Source organism: Homo sapiens, chromosome 10, assembly GCF_000001405.40.
Source record: "Homo sapiens chromosome 10, GRCh38.p14 Primary Assembly".
Taxonomy (NCBI): domain Eukaryota; kingdom Metazoa; phylum Chordata; class Mammalia; order Primates; family Hominidae; genus Homo; species Homo sapiens.
In genome coordinates this window covers 43,069,514-43,095,777 of record NC_000010.11, presented here as the reverse complement: position 1 = coordinate 43,095,777, position 26,264 = coordinate 43,069,514, and the positions used below count along the sequence as shown (strand labels likewise).

At 57.3% G+C, this 26,264-nt stretch overlaps 1 protein-coding gene across 40 annotated transcripts in view, besides 25 other annotated features; it reads right to left on the bottom strand.

Annotated features, from left to right (window-relative positions):
- Positions 1 to 18,709, bottom strand: part of RET (ret proto-oncogene) — a 53,283-nt gene extending 34,574 nt beyond the window's left edge. For all 40 annotated transcript variants that reach the window (NM_020630.7, NM_020975.6, NM_001406743.1 and 37 more), the window contains exon 1: positions 18,447 to 18,709. In NM_020630.7, coding sequence (NP_065681.1) covers positions 18,447 to 18,519 — 73 coding nt within the window. In that variant the 5' untranslated portion in view covers positions 18,520 to 18,709. The remainder of the gene's footprint in view (positions 1 to 18,446) is intronic.
- Positions 8,338 to 9,414: an enhancer, noted in NCBI's record as "VISTA enhancer hs2326". NCBI's record gives its function as "enhancer in: midbrain (mesencephalon)[3/4] | dorsal root ganglion[3/4] | other[3/4]" and the evidence as "EXISTENCE:transgenic organism evidence [ECO:0001131][PMID:17130149]".
- Positions 8,515 to 9,414: an enhancer, noted in NCBI's record as "MCS+9.7 enhancer construct". NCBI's record gives its function as "enhancer in excretory system and central and peripheral nervous systems" and the evidence as "EXISTENCE:reporter gene assay evidence [ECO:0000049][PMID:15829955, PMID:16269442]" and "EXISTENCE:transgenic organism evidence [ECO:0001131][PMID:16269442, PMID:16556802]".
- Positions 8,586 to 9,055: an enhancer, noted in NCBI's record as "Enh2 amplicon". NCBI's record gives the evidence for it as "EXISTENCE:reporter gene assay evidence [ECO:0000049][PMID:20977903]".
- Positions 8,938 to 8,967: a protein binding site. NCBI's record gives its function as "promotes enhancer activity" and the evidence as "EXISTENCE:protein binding evidence [ECO:0000024][PMID:20977903]".
- Positions 8,942 to 9,192: a conserved region, noted in NCBI's record as "conserved region; MCS+9.7, 250 bp reported range in Supplemental Table 1, PMID:15829955". NCBI's record gives the evidence for it as "COORDINATES:sequence alignment evidence [ECO:0000200][PMID:15829955]".
- Positions 9,028 to 9,145: an enhancer, noted in NCBI's record as "IB3 construct". NCBI's record gives the evidence for it as "EXISTENCE:reporter gene assay evidence [ECO:0000049][PMID:24794774]".
- Positions 9,060 to 9,360: an enhancer, noted in NCBI's record as "Enh1 amplicon". NCBI's record gives the evidence for it as "EXISTENCE:reporter gene assay evidence [ECO:0000049][PMID:20977903]".
- Positions 9,066 to 9,119: a protein binding site, noted in NCBI's record as "IB3-1 probe". NCBI's record gives the evidence for it as "EXISTENCE:protein binding evidence [ECO:0000024][PMID:24794774]".
- Positions 9,168 to 9,173: a protein binding site, noted in NCBI's record as "SOX10-BS2; assayed by deletion in functional assay, binding inferred from ChIP analysis". NCBI's record gives its function as "promotes enhancer activity" and the evidence as "EXISTENCE:chromatin immunoprecipitation evidence [ECO:0000226][PMID:20598273]".
- Positions 10,570 to 11,070: an enhancer, noted in NCBI's record as "H3K4me1 hESC enhancer chr10:43580156-43580656 (GRCh37/hg19 assembly coordinates)". NCBI's record gives its function as "activates a minimal SCP1, AML or CMV promoter by ChIP-STARR-seq in naive H9 embryonic stem cells {active_cell/tissue: H9 hESC(naive)}" and the evidence as "EXISTENCE:reporter gene assay evidence [ECO:0000049][PMID:30033119]".
- Positions 17,364 to 18,354: an enhancer, noted in NCBI's record as "H3K27ac-H3K4me1 hESC enhancer chr10:43572872-43573862 (GRCh37/hg19 assembly coordinates)". NCBI's record gives its function as "activates a minimal SCP1, AML or CMV promoter by ChIP-STARR-seq in naive H9 embryonic stem cells {active_cell/tissue: H9 hESC(naive)}" and the evidence as "EXISTENCE:reporter gene assay evidence [ECO:0000049][PMID:30033119]".
- Positions 18,487 to 18,785: a promoter, noted in NCBI's record as "D8 fragment (-70 to +227)". NCBI's record gives its function as "core promoter" and the evidence as "EXISTENCE:reporter gene assay evidence [ECO:0000049][PMID:11054558]".
- Positions 18,487 to 19,170: a promoter, noted in NCBI's record as "D1 fragment (-453 to +227)". NCBI's record gives the evidence for it as "EXISTENCE:reporter gene assay evidence [ECO:0000049][PMID:11054558]".
- Positions 18,487 to 22,864: a biological region, named in NCBI's record as "RET 5' regulatory region". NCBI's record gives its function as "regulatory_interactions: MCS+9.7 | RET".
- Positions 18,663 to 19,520: an enhancer, noted in NCBI's record as "H3K4me1 hESC enhancer chr10:43571706-43572563 (GRCh37/hg19 assembly coordinates)". NCBI's record gives its function as "activates a minimal SCP1, AML or CMV promoter by ChIP-STARR-seq in primed H9 embryonic stem cells {active_cell/tissue: H9 hESC(primed)}" and the evidence as "EXISTENCE:reporter gene assay evidence [ECO:0000049][PMID:30033119]".
- Positions 18,700 to 18,727: a protein binding site. NCBI's record gives its function as "positively regulates promoter activity" and the evidence as "EXISTENCE:protein binding evidence [ECO:0000024][PMID:15548547]".
- Positions 18,746 to 18,774: a protein binding site, noted in NCBI's record as "-59 to -31". NCBI's record gives the evidence for it as "EXISTENCE:nuclease protection assay evidence [ECO:0001106][PMID:11054558]" and "EXISTENCE:protein binding evidence [ECO:0000024][PMID:11054558, PMID:12406571]".
- Positions 18,748 to 18,785: a protein binding site. NCBI's record gives its function as "blocks association of Sp1/Sp3 and represses promoter activity" and the evidence as "EXISTENCE:protein binding evidence [ECO:0000024][PMID:12406571]".
- Positions 19,386 to 19,652: an enhancer, noted in NCBI's record as "D2 fragment (-932 to -666)". NCBI's record gives the evidence for it as "EXISTENCE:reporter gene assay evidence [ECO:0000049][PMID:21677782]".
- Positions 19,558 to 19,612: a protein binding site, noted in NCBI's record as "D2A probe". NCBI's record gives its function as "promotes enhancer activity; synergizes with Nkx2-1" and the evidence as "EXISTENCE:protein binding evidence [ECO:0000024][PMID:21677782]".
- Positions 21,735 to 21,896: an enhancer, noted in NCBI's record as "RARE (retinoic acid response element)". NCBI's record gives the evidence for it as "EXISTENCE:reporter gene assay evidence [ECO:0000049][PMID:20952403]".
- Positions 21,735 to 21,896: a protein binding site, noted in NCBI's record as "RARE (retinoic acid response element); contains two GGGTCA half sites". NCBI's record gives its function as "regulates histone modifications" and the evidence as "EXISTENCE:chromatin immunoprecipitation evidence [ECO:0000226][PMID:20952403]".
- Positions 22,107 to 22,398: an enhancer, noted in NCBI's record as "280 bp fragment". NCBI's record gives the evidence for it as "EXISTENCE:reporter gene assay evidence [ECO:0000049][PMID:12668617]".
- Positions 22,107 to 22,864: an enhancer, noted in NCBI's record as "D15 750 bp fragment". NCBI's record gives the evidence for it as "EXISTENCE:reporter gene assay evidence [ECO:0000049][PMID:11032856]".
- Positions 22,108 to 22,147: a protein binding site, noted in NCBI's record as "Site A". NCBI's record gives its function as "promote enhancer activity" and the evidence as "EXISTENCE:protein binding evidence [ECO:0000024][PMID:11032856]".

Genomic DNA, 26,264 nt, shown 5'->3' with positions numbered 1-26,264 from the left:
GCCTATGTAGTGTGTGTCATGAGTGTGTGTATATGTATGCACGCACAGGGCATGCAGGAGACAGAAAAAGAGATGGAGGCATGCCCACCTAAGACCCCATCTGCTCCCACCCTGCCCAGCTCAGCAGGAAAGAGTCTGCCCTAGTGTTTGACAGAGTGAAGTGCTAGACTGTTTCCAATGTTCCACACGTGGCTGGGCTGTTTAAATTATTCATCTTTGGATGCAGAGGGGACCAGTCCTGAGCCCCCTCGTCCCACATGTGCGCGTGCACACACCTTGTCAATCCACACACTCCGTCCAGGTGTGCATGTTCTCATGCCCAGGCGGGCCTGGAGCAGGTTACTTTGCAGGCAGCACAAGGCCAAGCTTCATCGGTGGAGGGCTTTGGAGAGATGCTGGGACAGGCCAGGGGTTGCTCCTGTCTCCGGTTGTTACACCTGCCTTTTCTAGGTCCTGCTGCCCGGGCAGTCCACGAGACAGGGTGTGCTATGTGCTCCACCCTAGCACATACCCAAAGCATGCAATCCCTCGGCACTGATGCAGCCCATACCTGAGCCTAGCCATCAGCTTCCTGCAGCCCCCAGCCTCAGCTCCCGTGCCCTAAGGATAGTTCCTGCCAGACCTGAGCCTGCACAGCAGCCCCAGCCTAGCATCCAGCTCCTCCCTCAGGCTCTGACCCCAGCTGGGAAGGGGTTCCTTCCCTGGTGCCCACCTGCAGCTGAGGGTGCCCCACAGAGCTCTCCCCACCCCCATTCATCCCTCTTTCATCACAGCTTAGTGCCTCTGATGTTACTGCTCCTGTCTCAGGGACCACGTGGGGCTGTCTCCTGGTCAGACTCAGGCGGACACATTGCACACATGCATTCCTTCTCTCACACACACTCATTCTCTCAGACGCATACCATTACACACCACGGGGGCACACACTGTTATACACTTGTTCTCCCATATGCTCACACATTCTCACACTGCCAATAGGGCTCTAACAAGCACATGTATTTGCTCATACTGGTATATACCCGCTTTCACACACAAGCACACACATTTTCCTGCACCCTCGGTGCACACATACTAAGCGTGGCCTGGCCCTGTCTGTGGAGGCAGGGGCTCACCAGCTCTCCACTGGCTCCTGGCTGTGGCCCTTGGTCTCTCACTCCCCCACTGCCGACCACCCGGCAGCTCTGATGGGGCACTGTGAGGTCACCCTTGCCATGGCATGGTGACCCTGCCACAGAAACACAAATGGAGCTCCAGACCATGAAAAACTTCCCTAGGATGGCAGCACAAGGGCCGAAATTTGGGACTTCCAAAAAAGAAAACAATAACAACGATATGATCCAAAAACTGCATGAATTAGAAGCAGCGTAGGGCATGTGTGTAGAGCAGGCCCTTCCTGCAGAACCCCTCATGCGACACCAGCCCCACGCCTGCCCTTGATGGGTGGCAGACGATGCAGATGACAGCTTTATTATGGCCCAGCAGAATCTCCTTAAGAGACGATTTCCTAATGCAATCATCTTCCTGGGAATGGGAAACAGGCCCCAGGGCTCCTCCCTGGGGGCTGGGGGTGGAAAGAGGCGGTCCCCGCCTCCCCAGGCCAGCTGTCCCTATGGGGGTCCCTCCAGCCCCATGCTGAGCACTGTTATCCTCTCAGGATGTGACCTGTTACCCCACCCCCACCCCCCCACCGCTTCCCTCCCACTTCCCACTCACGTTTTCTCTTACTATAGTCAAATATTTGACATGTACAACGAATACATTTCACAGAACATTTATGCTGAACAAACACCCTGGAGCCCGTGGCCCTGCTGAACTGGATGCTTGGCCACACTGCTGCTCCTCCCGCCTCCCCACCTGCCACTGTGTCCCACCCCCACCAGCAGGAGCCTGCGCCTGGCCTTCTTCTTGCCTCATTTTTTGACGTCATTCATGGAAGGCCCATTTTTGCTGGGTGGAGAATTCCATGTGGACAGCTATTTTCCTCCACTCTACATAAGGTCTGGCTCCCGTCTTTCAGCCTCACTGCTGCTGCTGAGGGCCCATGCTCAGGCCGGCCCCTCCTGGGTAACCCACTTTCTCCCAGCTGCTCCCAGGACCTCCTCTGTCTTTGGTGCTGTCCAGCGTCGCTGGGATGCTACCGAGGCTGCTCACCCCCTCGGCTGGTTTCCTCCTCTGCACCCTGTCCTCCAGATGGTGGCAGTGGCTCACTCACCAGCCATATCCAGGCCCTGGGCTGTTAATCCTGTCTCTATGCTGGTGTGCAGCATGCTGATCAGCAGCCTGGGCATCTCCATGCCTTGCTCTCTCTACTCCTTTGCCTCAGTTTGGCCCCTCCTCACCCCAAATTGTCCCCAACTCTTCCCCATCTCATCACGGTATGGCCCCACCTCACTGCTCAGGTCACACACCTCAGTCCCCAGATCCCTTTCTCTTTCACCCCTCACCCCACCTCCCAAGTCCCCTCTGCCACCCCTGTCCAACCCTGGACCACATGCTGGGCAGGACAGGCAATCTCGCACAGAGGAGCCAGGGTCCACTGAATCATGGCACCCTCTGTGGAGCCCTGTGTTAACTGTCCGCTGCTTGCAGAATAAAACATAGCTCCTCATCAGGGCTCCCAGGGCCCCCTCTGCCCTCCAACTCACTTCCTCCTCACTCTTACAGGGTGCCTACCTTCCTGCCACATCTGCCAACTCACTTTCTGTGAGCTGAATGAATAAATTTATGAACCAATGAATGAATCAATGAATCAACGAGCCAGTACAATGGTTTCATAAACAGGAGTGTGAAAGGGCTGGGCACATTTGGGAAATGGTCAGAATTTGGGAAGGGGAAGGGAGTAAGAGGACGGGGAGATACTGTGACATGGTCTCACGGGCACTGGAGCCACGGGCAGGCTGTCAGTGGCAGGATAGAGCTGTGTGGATGCGCCCTGTGCACACGTGCAGTGCCCACTAGTGCACCAGCAACCTTGTGGGGCCAGCCACTGTGCTGAGCAAACAAGCCTGAGGCTGAGGACAAAACCACTCCTTTTCAGCTCAGGAAATGATCTATCAGTGCCTGAGGAGCCCTGGGCACCGGAGCTGCCAGCCAGACTCACTCGGGTAGGACCACCTGCAGCATGCTGCACAAACCTGGGTCCTCGGCTCTGTCCCAGCTGGAGGCTGCTTTTGCCTGGGACTATAATCTAACTTTGCATTTAGGGAAAAAACACGGATCAAGGGAGGCTCTACTGTAAATAACAAATTTGGAGGTGTATATAAAGAGAGATTCTAGTTTTAAAAAGTTATTTTAAATTGTGGTAAAATACACATGAACTTTATCATCTTAAAATTTTTAAGTGTACAATTCAGTGGCATTAAGTGCATTCACACTGCCATGCAAACCATCCTTCCACAGCACTCTTTTTATCCTGTAAAACTGAAATTCTGTACCCATGAGACAATTACTCCCCCTCCTCTCCTCTCCCAGTTCCTGGAATCCTCCATTCTACTGTCTCCACGAATTTGACGACTGCAGGGACCTCATGTAAGTGGAATCATACAGTGCTTGTCCTTCTGTGACATAATGCCCTCGAGGTTCAACCATGGCATAGGATGTGGCAAATTTTTTTTCCTTTTTAAAGCCAAGTAATATTCCATTGTATGTCTGTATTATATTTTGCTTATCCATTCATTGGTCAATGGACACTTGGGTAACTTCCTCTTTGTGGTTACTATGAATAATGCTGCTGAAAATGGGGACATACAAATATATCCTGACTGCTTCCTGCTTCCTTTCCTGTATGTATCCAGAGTGGAGGTGCTGGAGCCGAAGTCAGCTCTAGGTTTAACCTTTGAGGAGCCTTCCTGCTGTTCTCCACAGCAGCTACACTATTTACCTTCCAGCAGTGCGCAAGGGTTCAGTTTCTTCACATCCTTACCAACACTGGTTCTTTTTTTTTTTTTTTTTTTTTGATAGTAGACATCCAAATGGGTGTGAGATGGTATCACATGGTGATTTTGATTTGTATTTCTCTAATGAGTGGCAATGCTGAGAATCTTTTCATGTGCTTCTTGGGGCCATCTGTAAATCTTATTCGGAGAAATGTCCATCCAGGCCCTGTGCTCATTTTTTTTGTTGTTGTTGTTGGGTTTTTTTTTTTTTTTGTATGGAGTCTCACTCTGTCACCCAGGCTGGAGTGCAGTGGCACGATCTCGGCTAACTGCAACCTCTGTCTCCTGAGTTCAAGCGATTCTCCTGCCTCAGCCTCCCAAGTAGCTGGGATTACAGCCACCTGCCACCACGCCTGGCTAATTTTTTTGTATTTTTAGTAGAGACAAGGTTTCACCATGTTGGCTAGGCTGCTTTCGAACTCCTGACCTCAAGTGATCTGCCTGCGTGAGCCTCCCCAAGTGCTAGGATTACAGGAGTGAGCCACCGCACCTGGCCCCCTGTGCTCATTTTGGAATCAGGTTTTTTTGTTGCTGTTGTTGAGTGTGAGGAGTTCTCTACAGATTCTGGATTAACACTGATCAGATCTATGAATTACAAGTTTTTCTCCCATTCCATGGGCTGTGTTTTCACTCTTCTGATTGTGGCCTTGGTTCACAGAAGTTTTACATTTTGATGTAGCCCAATTCATCCATTCTTTCTTCGGCTGCCTGTGCATCTGGTTTTTATAGGGGGATCCCAGTTTTAAAGATGTGTACACAGCTAAATCTTCAGCTAGAACCAAGGTCAAACAGAAGCATGAAATTTTTGGCCCCATCTGGCATCACCCTGCTGCCCTGGTCACCTGCCTGGGGCAGGTACACACCTGGGCACGGCCAGTATCTGCTGCAGTTCCCACTTCAGCTGCTGTCCACTCATGAGACCACAGCATCCAGGCACGAGAGCGCCCTGACTGGCTAGGGAGCGCGCCATCTCTAGGCAGGTGTGAGGGCTCACAAGGGCTGGGCCGCTAGGGCCAGCCCTCGGTGCCAGGGTCCCAGGGGGCCAGGAGCCTGCAGAGGAGGAACCTCTGCTCCTGACCGGCACCACTGCTGCATGCGCCTGGGTGCGCAAAAAAGGTTTTTGTTTTAATTCATTTTAAAATCAAAAGGATGAAATAAATATAATAAGAAATAAATAATAATAAAGTGGCCTGGATTGTGTTTGTCTTATACCAACACAGTTGCAGAATATAATTTTGCTTTTGGATGTGGGAGGGGCCCATGGTGCACGCATGTGGCCCTGGCTTGAGAGTCACCTGGTTGTGCCTGAGCCCCCAGGAGGACAAGGCTTAGCATGGAGCACACAGCCCTGAGCAAGGCAGGGACCCATCTGAGGCCTCAGCAGAGGAGGCAGCGCCCAGAAGCGGCCCAGTCTCAACTGCCTTCTGTCACAGAGCCCTTCCCTTTGCCACGCCTCCTCCTCACACGAGCCCAGTGCCAACCCAAGAGGCTCCCGGGCAGCCACTACTGGACACTGGTTTCCAAGTGACGATTAAGTGCACCCTGCCTGGCGTCCTGCTCTCTTCCTAAATTCCCTGTGTCTTCCCTGCACCTGGGGGTGGCTCTCATCACCTCTGACTCAGGAGGTTCAGTGGGCTCTCAGCCTCACCCCTGCCCAGGGCAGCCACCAAACACAGCTGTTCACAGGTGTCTCTCTGAGCCATTTGCCAGGCCTGGGCCTACTCACACATGTCCAGTTTCCCTTTCATACACAGAGCCTGGTATGTGCAGCTGCCTGCATGCCCCTGCCATCAGCCCCTCACTCCGGGCCCTGGTGCTCGCTCGCTCAGCCTGGCCCAGGGCTCCCAGGTGCATGGCCATCCCTGTCCTCTCCACCTGTGGGAGTCCTGCCCACTGTCCTGAACAAGCTCCTGTCCCAGCCCCGATCTCTGCCCCAAGTCCTGACCTTGCTGGCCTTTGCCTCCCTTAACTCTCAGGGTTCTTGTCTGATGATAACAAGAGTATGAGGCTGACAGACAGTGCCCATACACTCAACCTGCTCTTGGCAGGGACGGCTTCCTCCAGATGCCCTGCCTATGAGCCAGAGGAGGGCCCCGATGGCCGGCCTGTTAGCAGGTGGGACAGGCCACATGTGCTCCACGCCTCCCTGTGTGTGGTGTGTCCTTGCATGTGGGGGCGGGCTCCCCGACACAATGCTGTCGGCCCTGGTACACAGCAGGAGCACCCTGGTTCTGCCTCTTGACAATGTCCCCTGGGGTCCTGAGGTGTGTCCTACAGAAAGAACGGACATGCACTTCCTACGCCACCTGCACGCCTTGGGAGAGGTGACAGTAACTGGGTCCTGAGTACTTCCTTGGGCAGCAAAAGGAACGGCTATCCTGGCAGCCCACCAGCCAGGCAGGACAGATGGACACGCATATGCTAATGGCTTGCTGGTCACCCATAGCCCTGGGCTCATGGGGAGGATGCCTGCTGGCCAAGAAAACAGGCAGCTTGTTAGCCCTTTCCCTGGCAAGGAATCCTTACTTTTGGAGAGATGAATGTGTTAGACCCTAAGGCTGGAGACCCTGGGACACCTGACCCCGGCAGGGACGTCAGGAGAGCTGACTGGGGGCACCCATGTGCACCCTCCCTGAGGTCAGCCGGCTGGGGAAGTCATCACACGCTTCTGCTGAGCGGACGCTGCCTGACCTGTTTAAAGGGCCCAGCACTGGATGGAGGAGAGTGCCTAGCCCAGGCTGAGGGGCCAAGGGGGCTGCCCCACGCTGCCCGTTCTGAAAAAATGCCTGACCAAGAGACAGCCACAGACAGGCAAGTGGAGGCTAAAGGGAAGGGACTGCTCTGGGCTGCAGCCACAAGCAGGAGCCAGTGCCCGGCAGGACGGGAGGGCTGGGGGCAGAGCCAGAGTGAAAGGAGGGGAAAAGCAGCAGGAGGTAGAGGCAGTTCAGATGAGCAGCAACAGCACAGGGCCGGAGGTGAATGCTGGTTGGAGACAGGAGGCCAGCTCCTCGGGCCATGAGGGCATGAACTTAGGAAGAAGAAGAAGGTTGGGCAAGCTTGTGGATTCCAGGCAAGGCTGTGGACTCCATCTGGGTGATGGAGAGAAAGTGTGTGTTGCAGTGGTAATGAGCCTGGAGCAAGGGACATATATTTGTATCTCAGTTTCTCCTCTGTACCCACTGAGACTCAGAGCTCCCACCACACAGGAGTGTTGGGAGCTAGAAGGAATTAATGCACATGAAGTTCACAGATCAGTGGCTGGCACCAAGCAAATGCTCACAGAAGATGGCTGCATCACGACCATCAACATCACCGTCACCTCTACCACTACCATTACCTCCACCTTCCCCGCCACTGCCTCACCACTACCACCAGCACCATCACCTCCACTACTACCACTGCCTCCACCACCACCATCCCCACCTTCACCATCATGACTTCCACCACCACCATCACCATCACCTCCACTAACACCACCGCCTCCATCACCACCATCACAACCACTGCCTCTACCACCACCATCCCCACCTTCACCATCATGACCTCCACCACCACCTTCACCATCACCTTCACTAATACCATGGCCTCCACCACCACCATCACCACCACCATTGCCTCCACCACCACCATTCCCACCACCGTCTTCACCATCACCACCACCATCACCGTTGCCTCCACCAGCACCATCACCACCACAACTGCCTCCACCACCATCACCACCTTCACCATTATGAGCTCCACCATCAATATCCCTATCACGTCCACCACCACCGTCTTCACCATCACCACCACCACCACCACAACCACCACTCACTATCATGACTTCCACCATCAACATTACCATCACCTCCACCACAACCATCATCACGACCTCCACTATCACCATCACCAATACCACCACTACCAACACCAACACCAACACCATGACCATCACTATCACCAGCACCACCCCCATCTCACCTCTATCCCTACCACTCTCATCACTTTGCTGGCATCCTGAGACTTCCAAATGAAAGCAGCTTTTTGCCAGGTTTAACCTACACTAACCATGGAAGGAAATTTGGGCTGTGAAGACCCACAGGGCCACCACTGGCTCATCCTGCCCGCTGTTGTATTTATAACCCTGCTTGATCCCTGGCATAAAGAGCAGGTGTGAAGGAAAATCCTGGGGCAGGCTCTGGTAACTGGAGTCCATAGAAGCCCCTCTTCGGGAGCACACTGCATCAGCCCCTGGTTCCTCGGCCTAATTGTACCCGCTAACAAGTCAATACCTCCTTTGAGAAAAATCTGACAGCCTGTCCCATTCTTAGTTCACTGGGTTTAAGCATCTCTCTGTAAAACCATCAAGAAAACACTGGTCTCTGCAGATGATGGACAGCTCAGTGCATATACCGGGCGCTCAGTAAACACCAAGGGCAGCTCCTTCCCTGGTGTCCTGGTGACACCAGTTATCATCATGGCAGTGCGGCCTCAGTACCAGACTTAAGAATTGGTTCTTCCAAAATGCTGGGCAGGAGACCCGGTGTGGAGTGCAGGATCTCCTCAGATACCTCTCCTCTTGGACCTCCAGCCAGGCAGGGTGGCCAGTAGCTGGAAGAGCAGCTGAGGAGGAGGAGAGATGGGGCCCGGCCCTGGCCTGGGAGGCACCACGATCCCTGCACGCACGAACATGGCCCTCCTTAACTGAGGCTCTTCTCACACATCCAGTCTGAGCCCCTGCTGTAGAACAGAGATATCATTCACCCCATCCCATGCCAGAAAACAGAAGCCCAGAATTCCCGCTGCACACCCATGGTAGAACTGCAACCAGGACATGAGCCTCCTGACACCCCTAAAAGCCATGCAGCCTTCTGCCGTGAGTGGGGAAGGGGTCCAGGCATGGCTGAGGTTTGGGAGAAGGAGGTCCGCAACTGGGCACTGGGGGACCTGGCAGCCCAAGGCTACCTTCTGCACACAGACCCAGCCTTCTGCTCTGAGGGGCCCAGGCCCTAAGCTGCACGATGGCCACCACCCACACTTCCATACCCAGACCAGCTGCAGCGGCCTGGCCAGGATGATGGGCGCTCCTGCCCAACTGCAATTTCCCAGCTGCTGCAGAGTTAATCACCAGCCTCACTGGCAGTTGCTTCCGGCTTCTATGCAAAGGAAACTGCCAATTAGGTTATAATTAATTTCTTTCCTAGGGCAAGGCCTGGCTGAACAGGACTGGCCACCCAAGTGGCCTGTGGATGACCATGTAAGGGTCACTGGCCCCCTTGGCTGCAGGGCTGTAGAGTCTGCCCCAGCTGATTACATTGTTCACTGGCCCTGGCCTGGGGCAACGGGGCCAGGGCATCACCACTGGCTTTGACCCTGGTGCCTCTGGCCTGGGCAACTGTCCCCATGCACTCAGCAAGGCAGTGACTCAGATCATGTCCATGTGCAAATTTAAGTCAATCTGTCAGCTCATGTTCCTCAAGCTGAGATGGTCTTGCCCATTTTCGCCCTACCCCAGCCCCTTCTCATCCCTGTTCAACATTAACCAGTAGGAATCCACGGTGTGCTCCTCATGAGCAGGTCTGCTCCGGGCGCTTCATCTGCATCACCCACTGCATCAAAACAACTGTCAGAGGTAGGGACCATGAGGATTCCCATCTCACACAGGAGGAAAATGAGGCAGCACTAGCTTAGGTACCCTGCTGGAGGCCACACAGAGGCTAGGAATTAAGCTGCAGTCTGGCCTGGGCTTCTCTGTTCAGTGACAGGCATGCAGAGAAGCCGAGGCACCGTGAGCTACCACCCCTTCTGCATTGGGCTGCAGAGTAGAAGCTGGGCTCTCCCTGGAGAGAGGACACAAAAAAGGCTTGAGGGTCTGCTCTTAAGAGCAGTGGAGAGCAGAGGGAGAGAGCCAGGAGCCTCTGAGACAGTAGGTTTCAGCCCAGCACAGACCTGGGGCCAGACAAGCTGACAATCCTGATGCCCCAGGTCACAGCCAGGCAGCCCGATGCGGGGGCACCACCTGCATCTGGATGCTGTTATCCAGGTCCTGGGAGCAAAGACCTCAACATCAAGGGTGAAGAAGAATCCAAACCCAAGGCTGGGGATGCCATGCAGGGAAGGGGATGCCCAGGGAAGTGGTGCCAAGTCTTCATCTGACACTACCCCCATGTGTGACAACTCACGCCTCCCTCAGGGCCTCGATTTCTCCCTGTGTAAAATGAGAGGTTTGCACTGATGTGTAAGCTCCTCTCAGCCGAGGTCCTCATGCCCTTTGAGTCCACGTGATGTCTATGCAGGAGTATCCACAGAATGAGCTCCTGACCAGGGGCCGAGGGGCAGACGGTGGCCGAGATGGAAATCAGGACAGGCTCTGGCCTAGGTGGCCCCTGGGGGGTGAGGGACATGGGGCCAAAACAGGATTAAGACTGCAAGTGTCCTCCCAGGCCACTGACGATGAGGCAAGAAGACAAAGGCCTAGTCCAAAGGAGAGAGTTCAGCAGCAGAAAGGAGAGAGTTCAGCAGCAGGAAGGAGCAGAAACGCAGGGCAGAGCGGCCCAGCCCATGCCCCTGTGCTTCCCCGCTGTTTGCCAGGGCTGGGCACTTGGCTTCCCTGGCTCTGTCCCTAGCTGCGAATGGGGACAGGAACTCCTCCTTGGGAGCACAGAGTGCCTGCCTATGGATGCCAGTGTTCCACCCCCACCAAGCAGATTTGCAGGAGCCCACAGAGGCTGCCTGCCACCCTCGGTTCAGGGCCCCCCAGCTCCATGCTGGCCTCCAGAGCTGCCTAGGTGCATCCACCGCTGTCCTGAGAAAACTGCCCCAGGGCCTGGCAGCATGACATCACACCACGGCAATGATGATAATCAACTTACAGCGGATCCGATTATCAGCCTGGTTATTTTTAGAGTCAGGGTTCAGGATGAGCGAGAGAGGGCGGCCCTGGTTCCCCTGCTGCTGAGTCTCGTCTTGTCAGTGGGGTGGGGGTCTGCTGGCTCCTTGCACCTTCCCCTTCCTCCATCCTTCACAGGGCGGTTCCTGAGAGGCCCCTTCTTATGCACAAGCAGTGACACCATGGTTTCCAGATGTTGGTGCTCAACGTGGCCTCAGAGTCCAGGTCTTCCGAGAATGTCCTCAAGGTCCTCGAGGGCAGTGGTGATTCAATGCCCATGTGAGGAATCAGACGAATCCACACTCTCCTCACAAGGGACCTGGGGCTCAATCACTGACAGTGACGGCCCTGGATAAAGCTGCTTCTCTGCAGCTCTTGATGCAGATGCAACAGCAAAGTCAGCTGTATGGCAAGACAGCCATCTAGTTAGACAACAGGCAGAGGGCTCGAAGAGATGCTTCTCCAAAGAGACATGCAACTGGCCAGCATGCACAGGAAAAGATGCCCAGCACGCCATCACCGGGGAAAGGCAAACCAAAGCCACAACGAGCTAGCACTGTGCACTGGCTGCACGGCCAGAGTGAGACATGAACCAGAGAATAACAGAGAATAATGCGTGGTGGTGAGAATGTGGATAGATTGTAACCCTTGGGAATGTAACACAATTCAACCACTGTGGAAAACAGTTTGGCGGCTCCACAAAATATAAAACAGAATTACCTAGCGATTTCATGTCCAGGTATGTACCCAAAAGAACTGAAAGCACGAACTCAGGTATTTATAACAGGAATGTCCCTGGCAGCATTTTTCATAACTGCCAAAAGGTGGAAAGCACCCACGTGTCCATCCCCAGATGAATGGGTGACGGCACACTATTTACCCCTCACAGGAAGGGGCTGATGTGTGCCACAGCCTAGAGGAACCCTGAAGACCTTATGCTGAGTGAAGCCAGACAACAGTCCATGCAGATGAAATGTTCCAGGACAGGCCAAGCCGCAGAGACAGAACGCAGGCTGGGGGTTGCCCGGGGACAGGAAGCAGCTGTTTAATGGGTATGGGGTTTCCTTTTGGGGTGATGCAAATTTTTTGGAACTAAGGCAATGCCTGTTCAATGCTGTAAATGTGCTAAATGCCACCAAATGGTTCACTTATAAATGGTTAAACTTATGTTACACAAATTTCACAATTAAAAAAGAGTAAACCATAATTATTTGCTACCCTGTTTCCCCCTCTGTCCCCCTCAGCTGCTGGGCCCGCCAGGAGCCCCTGCTATGTGGACCAGGACAAGGGATGGAGAGCTGGTAGGCAGAAGTGTGTGCAGGTACACCCCTGCGTGCCCCCATCCCCGCGTCCTCTGTACTTGAAGCCTCCTGGGGTGAGAACGACCATGTGACAGGATCCCACGGAACACAGGGAAAGTGACGGTGGCCCCCTCCCAGGCCTCAAAGCTCCTTAAGCCTCAGGCTTCTTGAAGCTCTGTGCCCTCCTGTGCACATAGCCAGGCACAAGGGCTGGGAGGTGTGGCCACCCAGTGGGTAAGGGCCATGCCAGGCTATGCCACAAGAAGGACATAGTAGATGGCGTTAAGCCCCTGAGACTGGGGGGCATTCCTGTCACCAAGTACAGTCTCACATGCCCCTGCATATACAGGTGGTGGGGAGGCTAGGGGAGCAAAGACAATTTGAGGCTTTCCCGGGTCACGAGTTTTCAAGGTGCTGTGGGGCATCCTGTATGTGACCTGCCAGAGGAGTCTCCTGCAGAGACAACCTGTGGGCTGCCCACCGGTGCTGGGTCCCATAGCCAGGCTGGCCCCTTACGATGGCAGAGCAATGTGCCCATGTCACCAAGCGCCCATGAGCCCCGTTGTTTCCCTGGGTGAGGAGGGCCAGGCCCAGAGCCCCACTTGGGCTAAGTGTTAGGCTTCCTGGGGCTGGCAGACGCCCTACAGGCAATGGTGGTGGAGCAGGAAGGGGAACAGAGCAAGAGGAAGCCCCTGGCCCCTAGCCCAGCAACAGCTGCCGGGTCTGTGCCAGTTGCACTGCCAAGTAGTATGAGGAAGAAACCCAATGAGCCCTCTCCCTCCCTCCAGAACTGCACCAGCTCATGCTGCACCTCCAGCTCACCCACCCTCGTCCCGGCACCCAGAGCACACATCTCCCCAGTCATTACTTAAATTCTAGGAAATACATGTTTCCTTTTTCCCTCTCAGGAACACAAGGGCGAGAATCCTCTGGAGTCACAGGCACACAAGGGAACTGGAAACAGCTTGGTGGCCACTGTCCTGCTCCTGCCCTGGGGCCACACTGCCCCTCAGGTGCTTCCTTGGAACCCTGGCTCCTGCAGGGCATGGAGAGCAGCAGCACAGAGGAGCAAGGGCCAGGAGTGGAAGCGCAGCTGCAGCACCCGAATCTGGGAGGGGGTCTAGAACCTGGGGCTGTAGGGCCACAGGTTCTCCCCTGAGCACAGAGCCCCAGCACCAGGCCCTCCAGGTATCCCTGATATCAGGGAGGAAAGCCTATGCCCGCTGGTCCACCAGGTAGGCGCACACCTGTCCAGGTGCAGCGGTGACCTTTCTGTGGTGGTGCCTGGGCTGCTACACTTTGTGGAGCCACTCCTTGAGGCAAAAGCAAACAGAGGTGTTTGCTTGGAGCTGGCCACCTGCTCCCTCCAGGGCCAGGTGCGACCTGAACTGCTGTCCTTAAGGTCCTGCTGGCACCATCTCCCTGCCCCAGGCTTTTCAGGGGCCAAGAGCCCAGCCAGGAGGAGCTGTGGGAACAAGGACAGCTTGCTGCCTGCTCTTGCCCAGCCCTGCCCTGCCTGCAGTCTCAGGGTGGACAGTTCAGGGACCCACAGGCTTCATGGCCTCTAGGCTTGGGGAATGGAGGGGAGCGGGGTCCCTGAGGCCCCCATGATCACACAGCTGCGGGACCAGAGCTCCATGGAGGTTCAGGCCTCATTGTCTCAGCGCCAATCCAAGTGCCCAGGCCTGGCCCCAGAGCTCAGAGAAGGGGGGAGAAAGCAGAGAGGTAAAGCAGGACCTCAGGGGCTGCCAAGTGTCCCAGAGCCTTGGTCAGGAGAAGGCCCGTCCTCCAAAGTTCTCCTATGAGAGGTACAGCCTGCCTCAGGGGACAAAGAATCAAGCACCAAGGCTTCGCCTCAATCCCTGAGCCGGCCCTGGCTGCTGTTCTAGTGGGGGAGCCAGAGGGGCTCTGGTGGGCCTGGGGCCTTCTCCCCTTCCAGCCCCAAGGGGTGCAGTGCCTGGGTCATGGACCCCAAGGGACCTCCCCATTTGACCTCATAGTCCCACTGACTGGCAGCCTCCCAGGGGCCATGGGGTGCTCCCCTACCCCATGGGGCACAGAAGACGGCTCTGGCAGGCCCAGGTGCAGACGGGCACGGAGAGACAGCCCTGGTGCCATCATCACCTTCTCTGTGACCATGACTGAGGTGTGCTCCCTGCCTGGTGGTCACTGCCCAGTCCCCGCCCCTTGCCACACACGCATGCGGAAGTCCCTACACAGGGTCTCCTTGACTACGGTCTCTCCCTGCCATGAGACAGCTCTGGAGAGTCCCCAGCCCTAGAGCAGCAGGGCAGGAGCCGAGGCTCCCTCAGGAGTGCTCCCAGCCTGCTGTTGTTACTATTATTGTTACTGTTATTGTTACTATTAAGTCACTCTGCTGAAAAATAATTGCAGAGGAGTGGGGAGATAGAGGGCACAGCAGAGAACGGGGAGGGAGCATAACCTGGCACCAGGAAGCAGCCTCCAAAGAAGGAAGGGGGGATGGGGGGGGCCCACTTCTGGGGGAGGGGCTCCTGAAGTGGAAAGGAAGTGCCTCTGCAGGAGGGGAGGAGGGCAGCAGGGAGCATGGGGGGCTGCACCCTGCTTTGCCCCTATTCCCTGGCTTTCTTCTCCCAGGCTGTCCTGGAGGATGGGAAAAATGAGGAGGAAGGCCCTGTCCTGCATGAGGAAACACAGCTGTACCCCCATCCCTGATGCCCAAACCCCATCCCTGCACCCTTGTCTTCAGAGCAGTAGCTTCCATCCGATGCCAGGGCCTCAGGCATATGTTGGCTGCAAGGGCCACAGCCTGGTGTCCCAGCCGAACATCTGCACCGCCACTGGCAGCAAGATGCCTTCCTGCCATCCACAGAGCACACACAGTCGGCCCTTCTGCTGGCACAGCCATGCCTGGTGCTCCTCCCCAGACCCATAGGACTCCCAGACATCAACTAAAGCTGACGAGACCCAGAGAGTATCTCAGCGTCTGTGCATGGTGCCACACATTACTCTGGGATCTGGGCTGGGATGTCCTGAGGGCACCTGGAGCCCGAGGTGGGGGGACTCACCAGTGGGTGGGCAGGCTCAGGGCAACCTCCCTGGAAGCCCTCCTTAGCCCCACCCTGGACCCACACCACTGGCCCAGAGAACGGGCTGGAGCAAGCCAGAGGGCCAGGGCTGGGGAGCTCCCGCATCCTCTCTACCGGTTCGAGTCCATAGGCTATGAGAACCTGTTTCCTCACCTGTGAAATGGGCCAAGACCATGACCCTTGCAGACTTGTTGGAAAAGATGAAGTGAGTAGGCACAGCACAGGGGCAGTGCACTGTGAGCCCCCATGGGGTGCTACTGCTGGTATTAGCCTTATCCAGTTAAGACGAGGGGACCTAGAGGGTCTTCGGCCAGGCTGCAGAGGGGGAAGGTCTCAGGGGAGATGGCAGCTTCCGGGCCTTCCCTTCCCCTTGGCACCCCAGGTTCCATTTTAACAGATATCATAATTTTTAATTGGTTTTCTCCTCCACTGGCTAAAAGGCTATTAGCTCCCCGCTAGGTGATCGCATCCCATTTTCTTCACACCACCAAGGAAACAGTGATTTCCTCAGCCTGTCCCTAAAGTGATTCTGCAGAAGAAAGGCAATTTAGTGAATCAGCTCAATGCACTTCCCCATTTGCTCTCTGCTTGCAGGCCCCCAGCAGGCACAGCCCACCAGTGAGGGCTGCAGGCAGCTTCTGGAGGCCAGACAGGGTTAGTGAGCTGGAGTGGAGGAGGAAGCAAGCCAGGCCCAGGTGAACCTGGTGAAGCCTCTGGCCAGAGAAAGGGGAGAAGGAAAAGGATGAAGCAGGGGGAGCTGTACCCCTGGCCTGAGCTGCCCGCGCTGATACCTGGTGCTTCAGGCAGGGGTGGGCTGCCTAGGCCCTCTGCAGAGGGTGGTCTGGCAGCTTGGATCCGGGCCCTGCCAAGTCACAGTGCCCAGCTCTTCCATGCTGGGAACAGAAGGCCCCGGGGCCCAGGGGCAGAGAGGGAATGTCCTTCCTTGCTGCAAAACAGGACCCAAGAAGTCAGGCCAGGAAGACAAGAGACAAGAGGCTTGCTGAGGAGCTGTGGGAGGTTGAGGTGCAGGGTCAGCCTGGGACCTGGGGGGAACCCCAGAAGCTGAGACTCAGTTTCCTCATCCAAGCAACGGGGACAGCTGTATCTGTGTTGAGCAATGAAATGCCAGAAACCTTTAAGAGCAACTTTTAAATGAATGTAACTTTTAGATGGAGGTTCTCTCACTCTGGTTCCAGCATACCTGGGGCTGACAGGCTATGCCCTGCAGGTATGAGGAGTGTGTGTCCCTATATACACACGTGGCGTCCCTGTGTGTATGAGTGATGAGAGGGGCTGGGGTCCCTGTGTGGACGTGGGTGAGGCAGGGTGTGAAGGAACCACGCTGTGCATGTCCACAGCCTTGGCAGCAAGTGCTGTGAGAAGGGGCAGGAGTGTGTCTTGGTGATCCAGTGTGAGTGTGCATGTGTGAGCTGTGGAAGAACCCTCATCCTCTAGAGACCCAGTCTGTGCCTGTCATCAGGCCCAGCCACTAAAGTGCAGCGTCCGCAAGAGGGCGCTTGAGGCCGAGCTGTCCCCTTGGGGTGGTTGGGGAGCACCGAGGGGCTCACTGGGGCGGTCCTTGGCAGCTCCAAGAGTGCGGCTCGAACCTCCGGAGCTGTGGCTCCTGGGAAAGAGCTCTGCAGCCTCTTCAAAGGCCCCAGCTGTCTACTCCAGGGAGTGGGGCTGCCTCTTCACTCCCAGTGCCTCCAACTGTGGTGTCCGGGTTATCCCAGGGGCTAGGGGCTCACCATCTCTGGATTCGGGAAGCTGTCTGTGGGCCAGGGGTCTGGGCACGGAAAGCTACCTGCATGCCTGCTGAGTGCCACAAGCCGGCCCCCAGAGCCTGGCCCCCACAGCCTCACTGGCCACCCCAACTGAACGCAAGGCTGTGGAAGGGTGTGGGGAAGTCCTCTGCCCAGCACACCAGCAGCAGTTCACACCTGGCCCCCTGCCCACAACCTCAAAGCCAAAGCCACAGCCCAGAATCCCAAGACAGCGTCAGAGCGCCTTGTTTGCTTCTGCCCCGTGTCTTCCCCCTGCAGCACTGGGACCCCAAAGTCCTAACACTCAGAAAAGATAGAAAGGCAAGGGCTTCTCCCCTGTCCCTCGCTAGGTGGACTGGGGACCCGCTCTGGCCTCAGCATATGCTGAGCTGAGGCGCAGGTCACACAAATGAAGTCTCAGGCAGGCCTGGAAACTCAGTTTGTGCAGGGCCTGGGGCCAGAGACAGGGTGACTGACCATGGCTTCTTCTGTTCCCAAAGGCTGTGGGGAGAGAAAGCCCTTTGTAAGGAGTGAGGGAGGATGGCCAGGGCTCCTTCCCTCTTAGAGGGAAACTTGGTTCATACACAAGCGCTTGGAGGGGATCAAGTCAGGGCCAGTTTGAGGGACACTTAAACGCGTGCCAAGGGGTCAAAGATTCCACAGCCTTGCGGCTCACTCTGCCAGAGTTTGGGTGGGGTCGATGACCATCTTTGCAAGGCCACACCTAATGCTGGGATCCTAAGGCACCTGAGGTTTCACCAGGCCCAGCACCAACGCTGGCTGGCGGCGCAAACCCCTGCCCCACCCCAAGCCCTGGGCCTCCTATGGCCGCATCTTCAGCATCTCTGCCAGGCAGCGCCACACGACTCCAGGGCTGCCGGGTGGGACGCCTATCACGGCGGCCCCTCGGGGGGAGCCACCCCAGAAACCACGGTTTTTAGGTGTTTAAAGACAGGGCGGCAAAAACGCACGAGGGAAAAGCAATCTTTTCAAAAGAGCCTCCGAATCCCTCGGCTGGCCAGGACGGCAGAGCTGGGGGAGGAACGCACGGACGCTGAGCGGGAAAAGGAAACCAGGACGGAGCCGTCTCCTGCCGAAACAGAACTCTCCGCACGAATCGCGGGCTTTCGGGGCTCCCTGACCCGTCCGCCAGGTCGGCCCCGAAACGGCTGTCCCGTTTGCTCCAGGACGCGGCTTTGGCGCAGGGCGCGGCCAGATTGAGACCTGCGGCTATGGCTAGGGTTCTGAGCACCGACCCCCGCGGCCCGGCCCGCGCTCCGCTCCCGCCCGAGACCCGCCCAGCCCCGGCCCGAGGCGCCCGGCCCGAGGCGTCCTGCCCTTCGCCCGCCGCCCGCCGCAGCCACTGCGCTCCCAGCCGAGGCCGGGTGGCCGGCGACCGCACAGCCCGCTGCCCACGGCAAACAGAAAGGCGCTTCTGAACGCGCCCGCTCCGCTGCTCGGCGCCAACTTCGCCCTGGCCCCTGCGGGAGCCGGCGGCCGGCAGAACTCACCTTTGCCTAGCAGCGGCAGCAGCAGCAGCAACAGCAGACGCAGCCCCGCGGCACCGGACGTCGCCTTCGCCATCGCCCGTGCGCGCTGGGGCCACGGCTGGAGGGACTGCGGCTAGGGCCGGCGGGTCTGGATGGCGGGTGCGGCGCTCAGTCTGGCCGCCCCATCCCCGCCCGGGGCGCGGCGGACGCGACGGACACTGGGGGCGCGACGCACGTTCCGGGGCACTCAGCGCTGCTGCGCGCCCTGCTTCGGTCGCGGGACTGAAGCGAGGTAAGCGCCGGCTGCGCCGGAGGAGCGGGTAGGGGCGGGGCGGGGCGGGGGCGGTCCAGGGGTGGGCCAGGCGGGGCCGGAGGCGGGTGGGGTGCGGGAAGGGGCGGGGCTCCAGTGCTTGCTCTGGCTGCGCGGGGTGCGGCCGGGGCGCGGCGCGTGTAGGAGCTCAGTGCGGGACGCGCGGCTTGGGCCGGGTGGGGCTTGGGGAGGAGCGGGGTGCGGGAGCGGGGTGCGGCCGAAAAGGGCCCGGCAGGAGCCGGGTGCGGACCCCGAGGTGCGCGGCGGGGATGGAACCCAGGAGCCCGGGTCCGCGCACCTACGCAGAGCCGCTCTTCCTACCCGGTGCGCGCCCGCTTGCAGTCCCTGCCTTTTGCCCTTTCCGCTGCACAGAGAGGGCAGGGATGCTACGCGGGATGCAGGTCTGGCCGACTGGCTCGGGGTGCGACCCCGCGGACTCAGAGAAGGGCGCCCCGCCTCCAGGCTCTCCGCGGAGCGCTTGCTGCGCCATTTCTCAGAGGCGAGAGGCGCAGTGGGAGCGCGGCCTCTGCTGGGGCCGGAGGCAGGAGGCGGGGAAGAGCTGAGCAGGGGAAGAGAGGCAGAATAGCCTTTTTCAGCATCCTGGGGTAGTAGAGAGGGTAGGGTCCTGGAAGGGCAGTTTGTGATTCCCCCCTCCAGCACTGGTCCAACCCTTGGAAACCGGAAACTGGCTCCGGCGTCCTTTCAGAGACCTGGTGCTGGTGGCCCTTGCATCCCTTACACAGGAGAACTCTCAGGAGATGGGCTGGCAGAGTCGGAGAGCGAGTAGCGAGGAGGAGGAAAGAATCCAATTTTCCCCCAAAGAAATGATGGAAATGATGCGCATAAACACATTTACCCCTAATAGGGAGCAGCAACTGGACCTGAGAAGGGGTTCTGGGTGAGGTTGGATGTGGGCTCAGTGGGGAAGTCCTCTGTTCTCGCCCCATCCCCGGCTGCTTTTTGAGGTCTGGCCTGCACTTAGGCGCAGAGGGATGGAAGAAGGGAAGCCCATGGGCCCTTGAGGAGGAAAAGCCAGGGAACCTGGGCCCAGGGCACCCTTGAGCCAGCCGCTCCCTTGCTTGCTGTGTGCAGAACCCCGCCCTCTTGCCTGGCTGAGCTCAGGGCTGAATAAGTGATCTGCACATCACTGCAGATATGAAGTCAAAGTGAAGTCACCCTCACAGGCAGGAGGGGGAGCTGCCAAGACAGAGGCTGGCTTGCACTCAGCCAACCGTGATGTCCAGACCTGGCTTGCTGAGGGGCAGGTGGCCGGGGCACAGGCCTGCCAGCCCAGGAGAGACACTGTGGGCCACTGGACTCCGGCTGCCTGCCACACCCTTCCAGTTTATGGAGCTAGAGTTGGCCACAAGGGGCTCCCTTGGGTTCAGACAGGTTCCATCTCTGGTGCCAGTGGCTACCTAGGCTACACACTCAGGCCTGTGCCCAGGGAAGGGACCTGATAGGTAGGGAGGGGCTGGGGGCATCTTTTGGCTACAGACAAGCTCCTGTGATTGCCTCCTAGGTGAATGAAGAGAGAAGTGGGTAGGCTTAAATAGCCCCACCCCTGCACCTCCCGGGGACCACCCTGGCCAGCCCTTGGCTGACATTGATGTCTGGCTGGGCTCTGTGTGGCCATCTTAAGGGGCCATCTGGGGCTGTGCTCCTGCCTAGCCTACCTTAGGCCTTTCCACGCTCTCGCTCCACCCTCACCCTTGGGGGTCCTGAGTGAACACCTGACACTATGAGAGGGTGTCATTTACTCCTTGGAAAAAGGTCTGGGGGGCCCTCACATGGGTGTACCCTGTACACATGCATACATGCATACACCTGTGTTCCCATACGTGGACACACACGCACACAGATGCATACCTCCCTGCTACGTGCACGCCCAGGGATCTGACCAAAGGGTCGCTCAGCAGAGGACAGTTGTGAGGCCCAGAGCCTGCTGGCCTCAGGGACTGCGGGGAAAGGAGATTCAGCCCTGCCTGGGTGTAGGCTCAGTATCCAGAACATCAGGCAGCAGGAAGGAGCTCCTTGCCCAGCAGAGGGGAAGCGAGGCCACCCCCTGAGGTCTCACAAGGGGAGGTGGGGGCCAGGTGAAGTGCAAAGCAGACGTGCCGGTCTTTGGCTGCCCAGGAGTCCTGGCCCTGGCTTCTCTCAGTCCATGGGGTGGGGAGGGCCTGCAGGGGGCTCTGCCTCTCTTTCTTGACTCCCCTTAGTCATCTCTCTGAGCCTCAGTTTCCCCAGCTATAAACATCTCCCTTTCAGAAGAAGGGGTGAAACTAGAAAGAGGGGTGCATGTGAGGGTAGAGCCCAGTGCCCGACAAACAGGAAGCCCTTAATAAGTTGTAGCCATTGGGCCTTCCTGGGCCTGGGCTCGGGCACCCTGGCCACACTGCCCTGCTGAGGGTCGCGGGCTCTCTGGGAGCTGGAGGAGGGCACATCACAGTGTGGTCAGTGCTTCCTGTCCCTGCCCGCAGGTCCCCTTGGAGAATCTTCAGGGCAGCTTTTATGAAGACACACATCCTGGGTCCCCCACTCCCTAAAAATCCATGTTAAAAAAAAAGTTCAGGGGCCAGGCTAAGGGCTCACACCTGTAATCCCAGTACTTTGGGAGGCCAAGGCAAGAAGATCACTTGAGGCCAGGAGTTCGAGACCAGCCTGGGCAGCACAGTGAGACGCTATCTCTAAGAAAAAAAAAAAAATTCCCCAAGAGGTTCTGGTGCAGGCATCTGCTTGGAGTGATTAGACCTGAGTTTGAATTTTGCCATTCATAGTTGTGTGACATTGCATACATTACTCCTCAGCTTCAGTTTTGTCATCTCTCAAATGGGGACTGAAACAGTGTCCTTCCCTGGTGACTGTGAGGAGATGGTATTTTCAAGGCTCTGCCCCAGTGCAGGGTAAGATGCTCAGTGGGCAGGCGGCTCACACCATCTTCCTGTAGCATGTGAGAACTTGGAGGTCATTCATTGCTTCTGAGCAGGTGAAGATTACCTGGAGCACCTCAGGTCTGACCCCAAAGCACCAAAACGCAGCACAGGGAAGGGAGGGAGGAGGGAAACCCATCATGGACAGAGATCTGGGCCATGCCTGTGCAGGTTTGCCTGGCGGGAGGCGGGCGGGATGCTCTGTGTCCTCTGACCCAGGTGACATGGGGGTCTCTGCCTGCACTGAGAAGCATGGTTGGAGTGAGGCTGAGTGCAGTGACAGGAAACTCTGGCTCTGGGGGTGCCTCGTGACTTGCAGGTAGGGGGAAACACATTCAAGAGCGCAGCTCGGTCCTGGTGATACTGGAAGGCTGGGTGGCATTCCTGGAACTGCTGACCGAGGCCTCTCAGAGTGGGCGTGGGCAGGGGTCCAGGTCCCTCCCATGGGCAGTGTGACATGGTGGTTGGAAGCACAGACTCTGAGGCTGGCTGTGTGCACTGTTAGCAAAGTGGTCGGTGCCTCAGTTTCCCATCTGTCTGCCACTGCCCTCTGCTCCCCCATCGGGCTATTGAGGTGAGGGGCAGGTCTACTGCTCCCCACGGTTTGCCTCCCTGGCCTTGCTGTTGGTGCCCTCCAGGGCAGCTGCGAGGAGGAAGCCAGTGACCACCAGCTAGCTCTCAGGGCACTCAGAGGGGCTGCTCAGCCAGCCCACCCTATGCCAAATATGCTGCTTCCATGAGCATGCTCACAGAACACCTGGCCTGGGCCTGCAGGGTGTGGCTGTGCAGGACAGGCTTTACCTAACTGTGCAGGTCCTGCCTGCCTGTGGGCCTCAGGTGCCCTCAGGGGTGTTTGCAGAAGAGCCCTCAACCTGGCCTGGGAGAAGACCCCTTTTGCATCCTCCCTGGGGCCTGATTAGGAGCCGGGTGCCCGAACAAAAGCAACAGGGGCCTACATATCCATCAGAGACCCTGGGGGGTTCAGAGAAAGCCCACCTCCTCCCACCAGCCTGCCCACCTACTCCCACTAACCTATCATTATCACTTTGCCCACTTCAGTTTTCCATGTCCCCACACTTTGTTCTCTTGTGAATTTCCTTCCCTCGCCCTCCTTTCTTCTTTCCCCTCTGCCCGTCTTCTCCTCCCCTTCCCTTGGAGGAATCTCCATCCTTTTCGCTCAGCACCAGAGCCAGGCTAGCCACACCACTCAGCAGCTTCTGTGGTCCTCTCTGGGCCTCGGTGTCATCCTCTGTGACATGAGAGCAATAACATGGGCACTGCCTTGAGGGTAAAGCCCAATGATGCATCAGTGGGCTCAGCAGACAGTGGCAGTGTTTCCTGCCCCTCTGCCAGGGTTTTCTCTCCTACAGGGGGCTGTCTAGGTGTGGCCTGGGGCAGTAGCATGGTGGGAAGGCTGCAGGGGGCTCTGAGTGTGTCTGCGCTCTGTCTCTTGTCCCCATGTCCTTGGCGGGTTACCCAGAGTCTCCGTGCCTCAGTGGGAAGGCAGAGCTCCTTCTCCCCAAGTTCCCCGGGGATGCAGACAGTCAGTCTGCACAGAGTCCTTAGCCCAGGGACGCTGGCCATCAGCACGAGCTGCCGCTGTCATCAGCCTCTGTCCTGTCAGCTGTAGGAGCTGAGGCCATGAGGCCCAAGCAGTCACTGGATGGTGCTAGGGTGGCATAGAAAGCCAGGGGGCCCTGGACCCAAACAGTCCGGGCTTCCCACCTGCACAGGTGACAGCACGCACCTGTGTGCTGTGTGGGGCTGGTGGTCAACGAGACTGGCTTGCTAGAGCACACACCTGTCTTCTGCATCCTGGCTTGGCCACAGGCTTTGAGCCCTCCCCATGCAACCAGAAGCCTTCTCAGTGCTGGAGGGACCTGGGTCCCCAGAGTCCTATTTGCCGCAGAGGACCACTTATCTGACCTTGAATTACACATTCGGGAGTGGTGGGTTGATTAATGTCTGCGGCCACCCAGGCTCCTGGGGGATTGGCTCACATAAGGCAGCCCCAGCCCGAGGGGCTCAGAGGCCGGCTGGTCTGTGGACAGGACCTCAGGCCTGCCGGTGCCTTGCTTGGTGCATCCTCTGGAGAAGGCATCCTGGCTCCAAGCAACGTGGAGAGTGGAAGCTCGAGTCAGCTGTCCAGCAGATACAGGCTGAATGCTTTTTAGACAAAACATCTCCCAAGGCAGTTTCATAATCTGCCTTGTAATGCAGATTTAGACAACTTTTTACGAATGCGCTTTTTAAAATAGGCCTTAATGGATCTTTGCAGTAGTTACAGTCCATTGTGTAAATGCAAGCAGAAGGCTTTTTGAAAACATGTATTATTGATCAGAAAGGCAGCAGCAATTAGAAGCCAGTGTGTCGTATTGTTCAATACACACTTCCTATACAGCCCTGCCGTGCCCACTCATAACTTTCTGACAAATTATCTCGTCACTAGGAAGCCCTTTCTTTTCCTTTTTGCTTCTGTGAGTGAAAGAGCGCCCCCCGATTCGTTATTAGCTGGAGGTAAGGTCAATGAAAAATTAAGCTCACCATTGCCATTGCAAAACCTATTTACAACTTCTCCTTGGGCTTCTCAACTACAACCAGGTCTGAGCTGGAGGGGCTACAGAAGGGCCACAGAGGAGCCACTTCGAAGGAGGAACCCTGGCATCCAAGGCCACCATGAGCTGCCATTCAGCGGGGTTCCAGGGAGGAAGTGTGCCCCCGCCTGCTCCCAGTGTTCTCAGCATTTCTCCTCTTCAGTCGCCAAACCCAAAATGACCACTGAGGATTTGTTTTTTGCTCCAACACTGGTAGGAGAATCTCTCTTTCCCCCAGTCTGCACAATTGCCCTTCGTCCTTCTTGAAAAGCCCACTTATTTATTTGACAGATATCTCCTGGGCCCTTGCTATATTCCAGGCACCATTTTTGGAAACAGAGACGTTGCAGTGGAGAAAACCAAGTCCCTCCATTCCCCGTACATCTAGGGGACAGTCTCCCAAACTCAAGGCATGTGTGCAGGGGTCCAAGGCAGAAGAGATGTAGGTGATGGTTGTCAGGCCTGGGCGGCCCCGGGAGCTGACCTTGGGCAAAGAAGATGGTGCTGGGGGACAGTGCTGCCCTGGAGACACCGGGAGGTGGTGGGAGGCCAGCCAACCTTGGCTTCCCCGCAGTGCCCCAGCAGGAACAGGCAGGCATTCACCCTTCCCGGAGAGCATCCTCTCAGCAGCCTCTGGCTGGCCTCCCTGGAAGTTGCAGTGCGCCCTCCGTCCTCTGAGAGGTGTCCTGCCCGCAGGACCTTCAGAGGCTCACTTTGGCCCAGGAGGTCTTTTGGAGCCAAAAAACCCTGTGGTGCTTTGGGATGCTGACAAACAGGAAGCCAGTGACTGAATGCCCCAGTGGTGTCTGCAGGCTGCCATGGGCCCAGGATGGAGGTGGCTGTGGCTCTGGCAAGGTGTGTATCTGCCAGGGCCCTCCAGGCCTGTGGGTGCACAGGGGAGCCTGCCTTGCTCCACACTCGGGAGCTGCTGTGAGCTGCAGGGACAGGAGGGAACTGTAAGCTGCCTGCCGGCCACCTTCCTTTCCTCCCTCCTGCTTGCCCTTGGGTGTGGGGTGCAGGGTGCAGGTCGTGCGTGGTTTCCAGCCCCTGTGTCTACAGAGGGTCCAGGCACTTGGTACTTGCTCAGGTACTGCACTGGGCCCAGGCACTTGGTACCCCTTCCGGCTCTCCCGCAGGCCTTTGTTGCTTTGGAAGCCCTGGGGCTGGTTGCAGGCAGAGCCCTCAGGACTTCCCCTCCAGCCCCTGCACTACCCTGTGCTGCTACCTGAGCTGAGGCCTGCCCAGGGCTTCCCGCCATGCCTGGACCCCTCATACAAACCAGAGAGGCCCCTCCCTGCTTGCTCTGTCTGTCCAGGGGAAGGTTCTGCGACGATGACCATGTTGAACTTTGTGCTGCCTGAGCACTTAAAATGTGGCTAGTGTGACTGAGGAACTGAATGTTTAATTTTATTGAATTTAAGATAATGTAAAATTAAATATTCACATGTGGCCAGGATACTTATTGAGCAATGCAGCTCTAAAAAACATCTCCGTAGCCTCTCCTTGGGGGTGCCTGGGGAAGATGGGCTCCTGCCACCCACCTCCCTGCTGGAAGGAGAGCAGAGAAGCAGCCGGTTGAATTGTTCCAGGGAACTCTGCTCTTGCAGCATTCCCTCTGGGCCCTGGCTTCCAGGCAGCTTGAAAATGCACAGCCCTGAGGAGACGGGCGGCACTGCAGGGGTACACCCTGGGCACCCCCTATCTGGAGAGTCTTCTGCTTCCCTCCAGGCCCAGCCCCAGGACTTCCTTCCTACAGCAGGCATGGCTAGGAGCACAGACACAGCTCAGCCTTGGCAGAGCCCTGCCCTCAGGGGCCTCTTTGGAAAGGGGCTGATGAGCTACTGCGTATTAAGAGGCTGATGAAGAGCTGTCAGGGGACTCTGTATGCAGCCAGAGGCCCAGGCCTGATCACTAATGCTGGGACCTCAGCATCCAGCCCTCTCTCCTCTGCCCCAGACTCCCCATCCCTCAGACTCCCAGGTGTTCCCTGTCCTGGACCCCCACC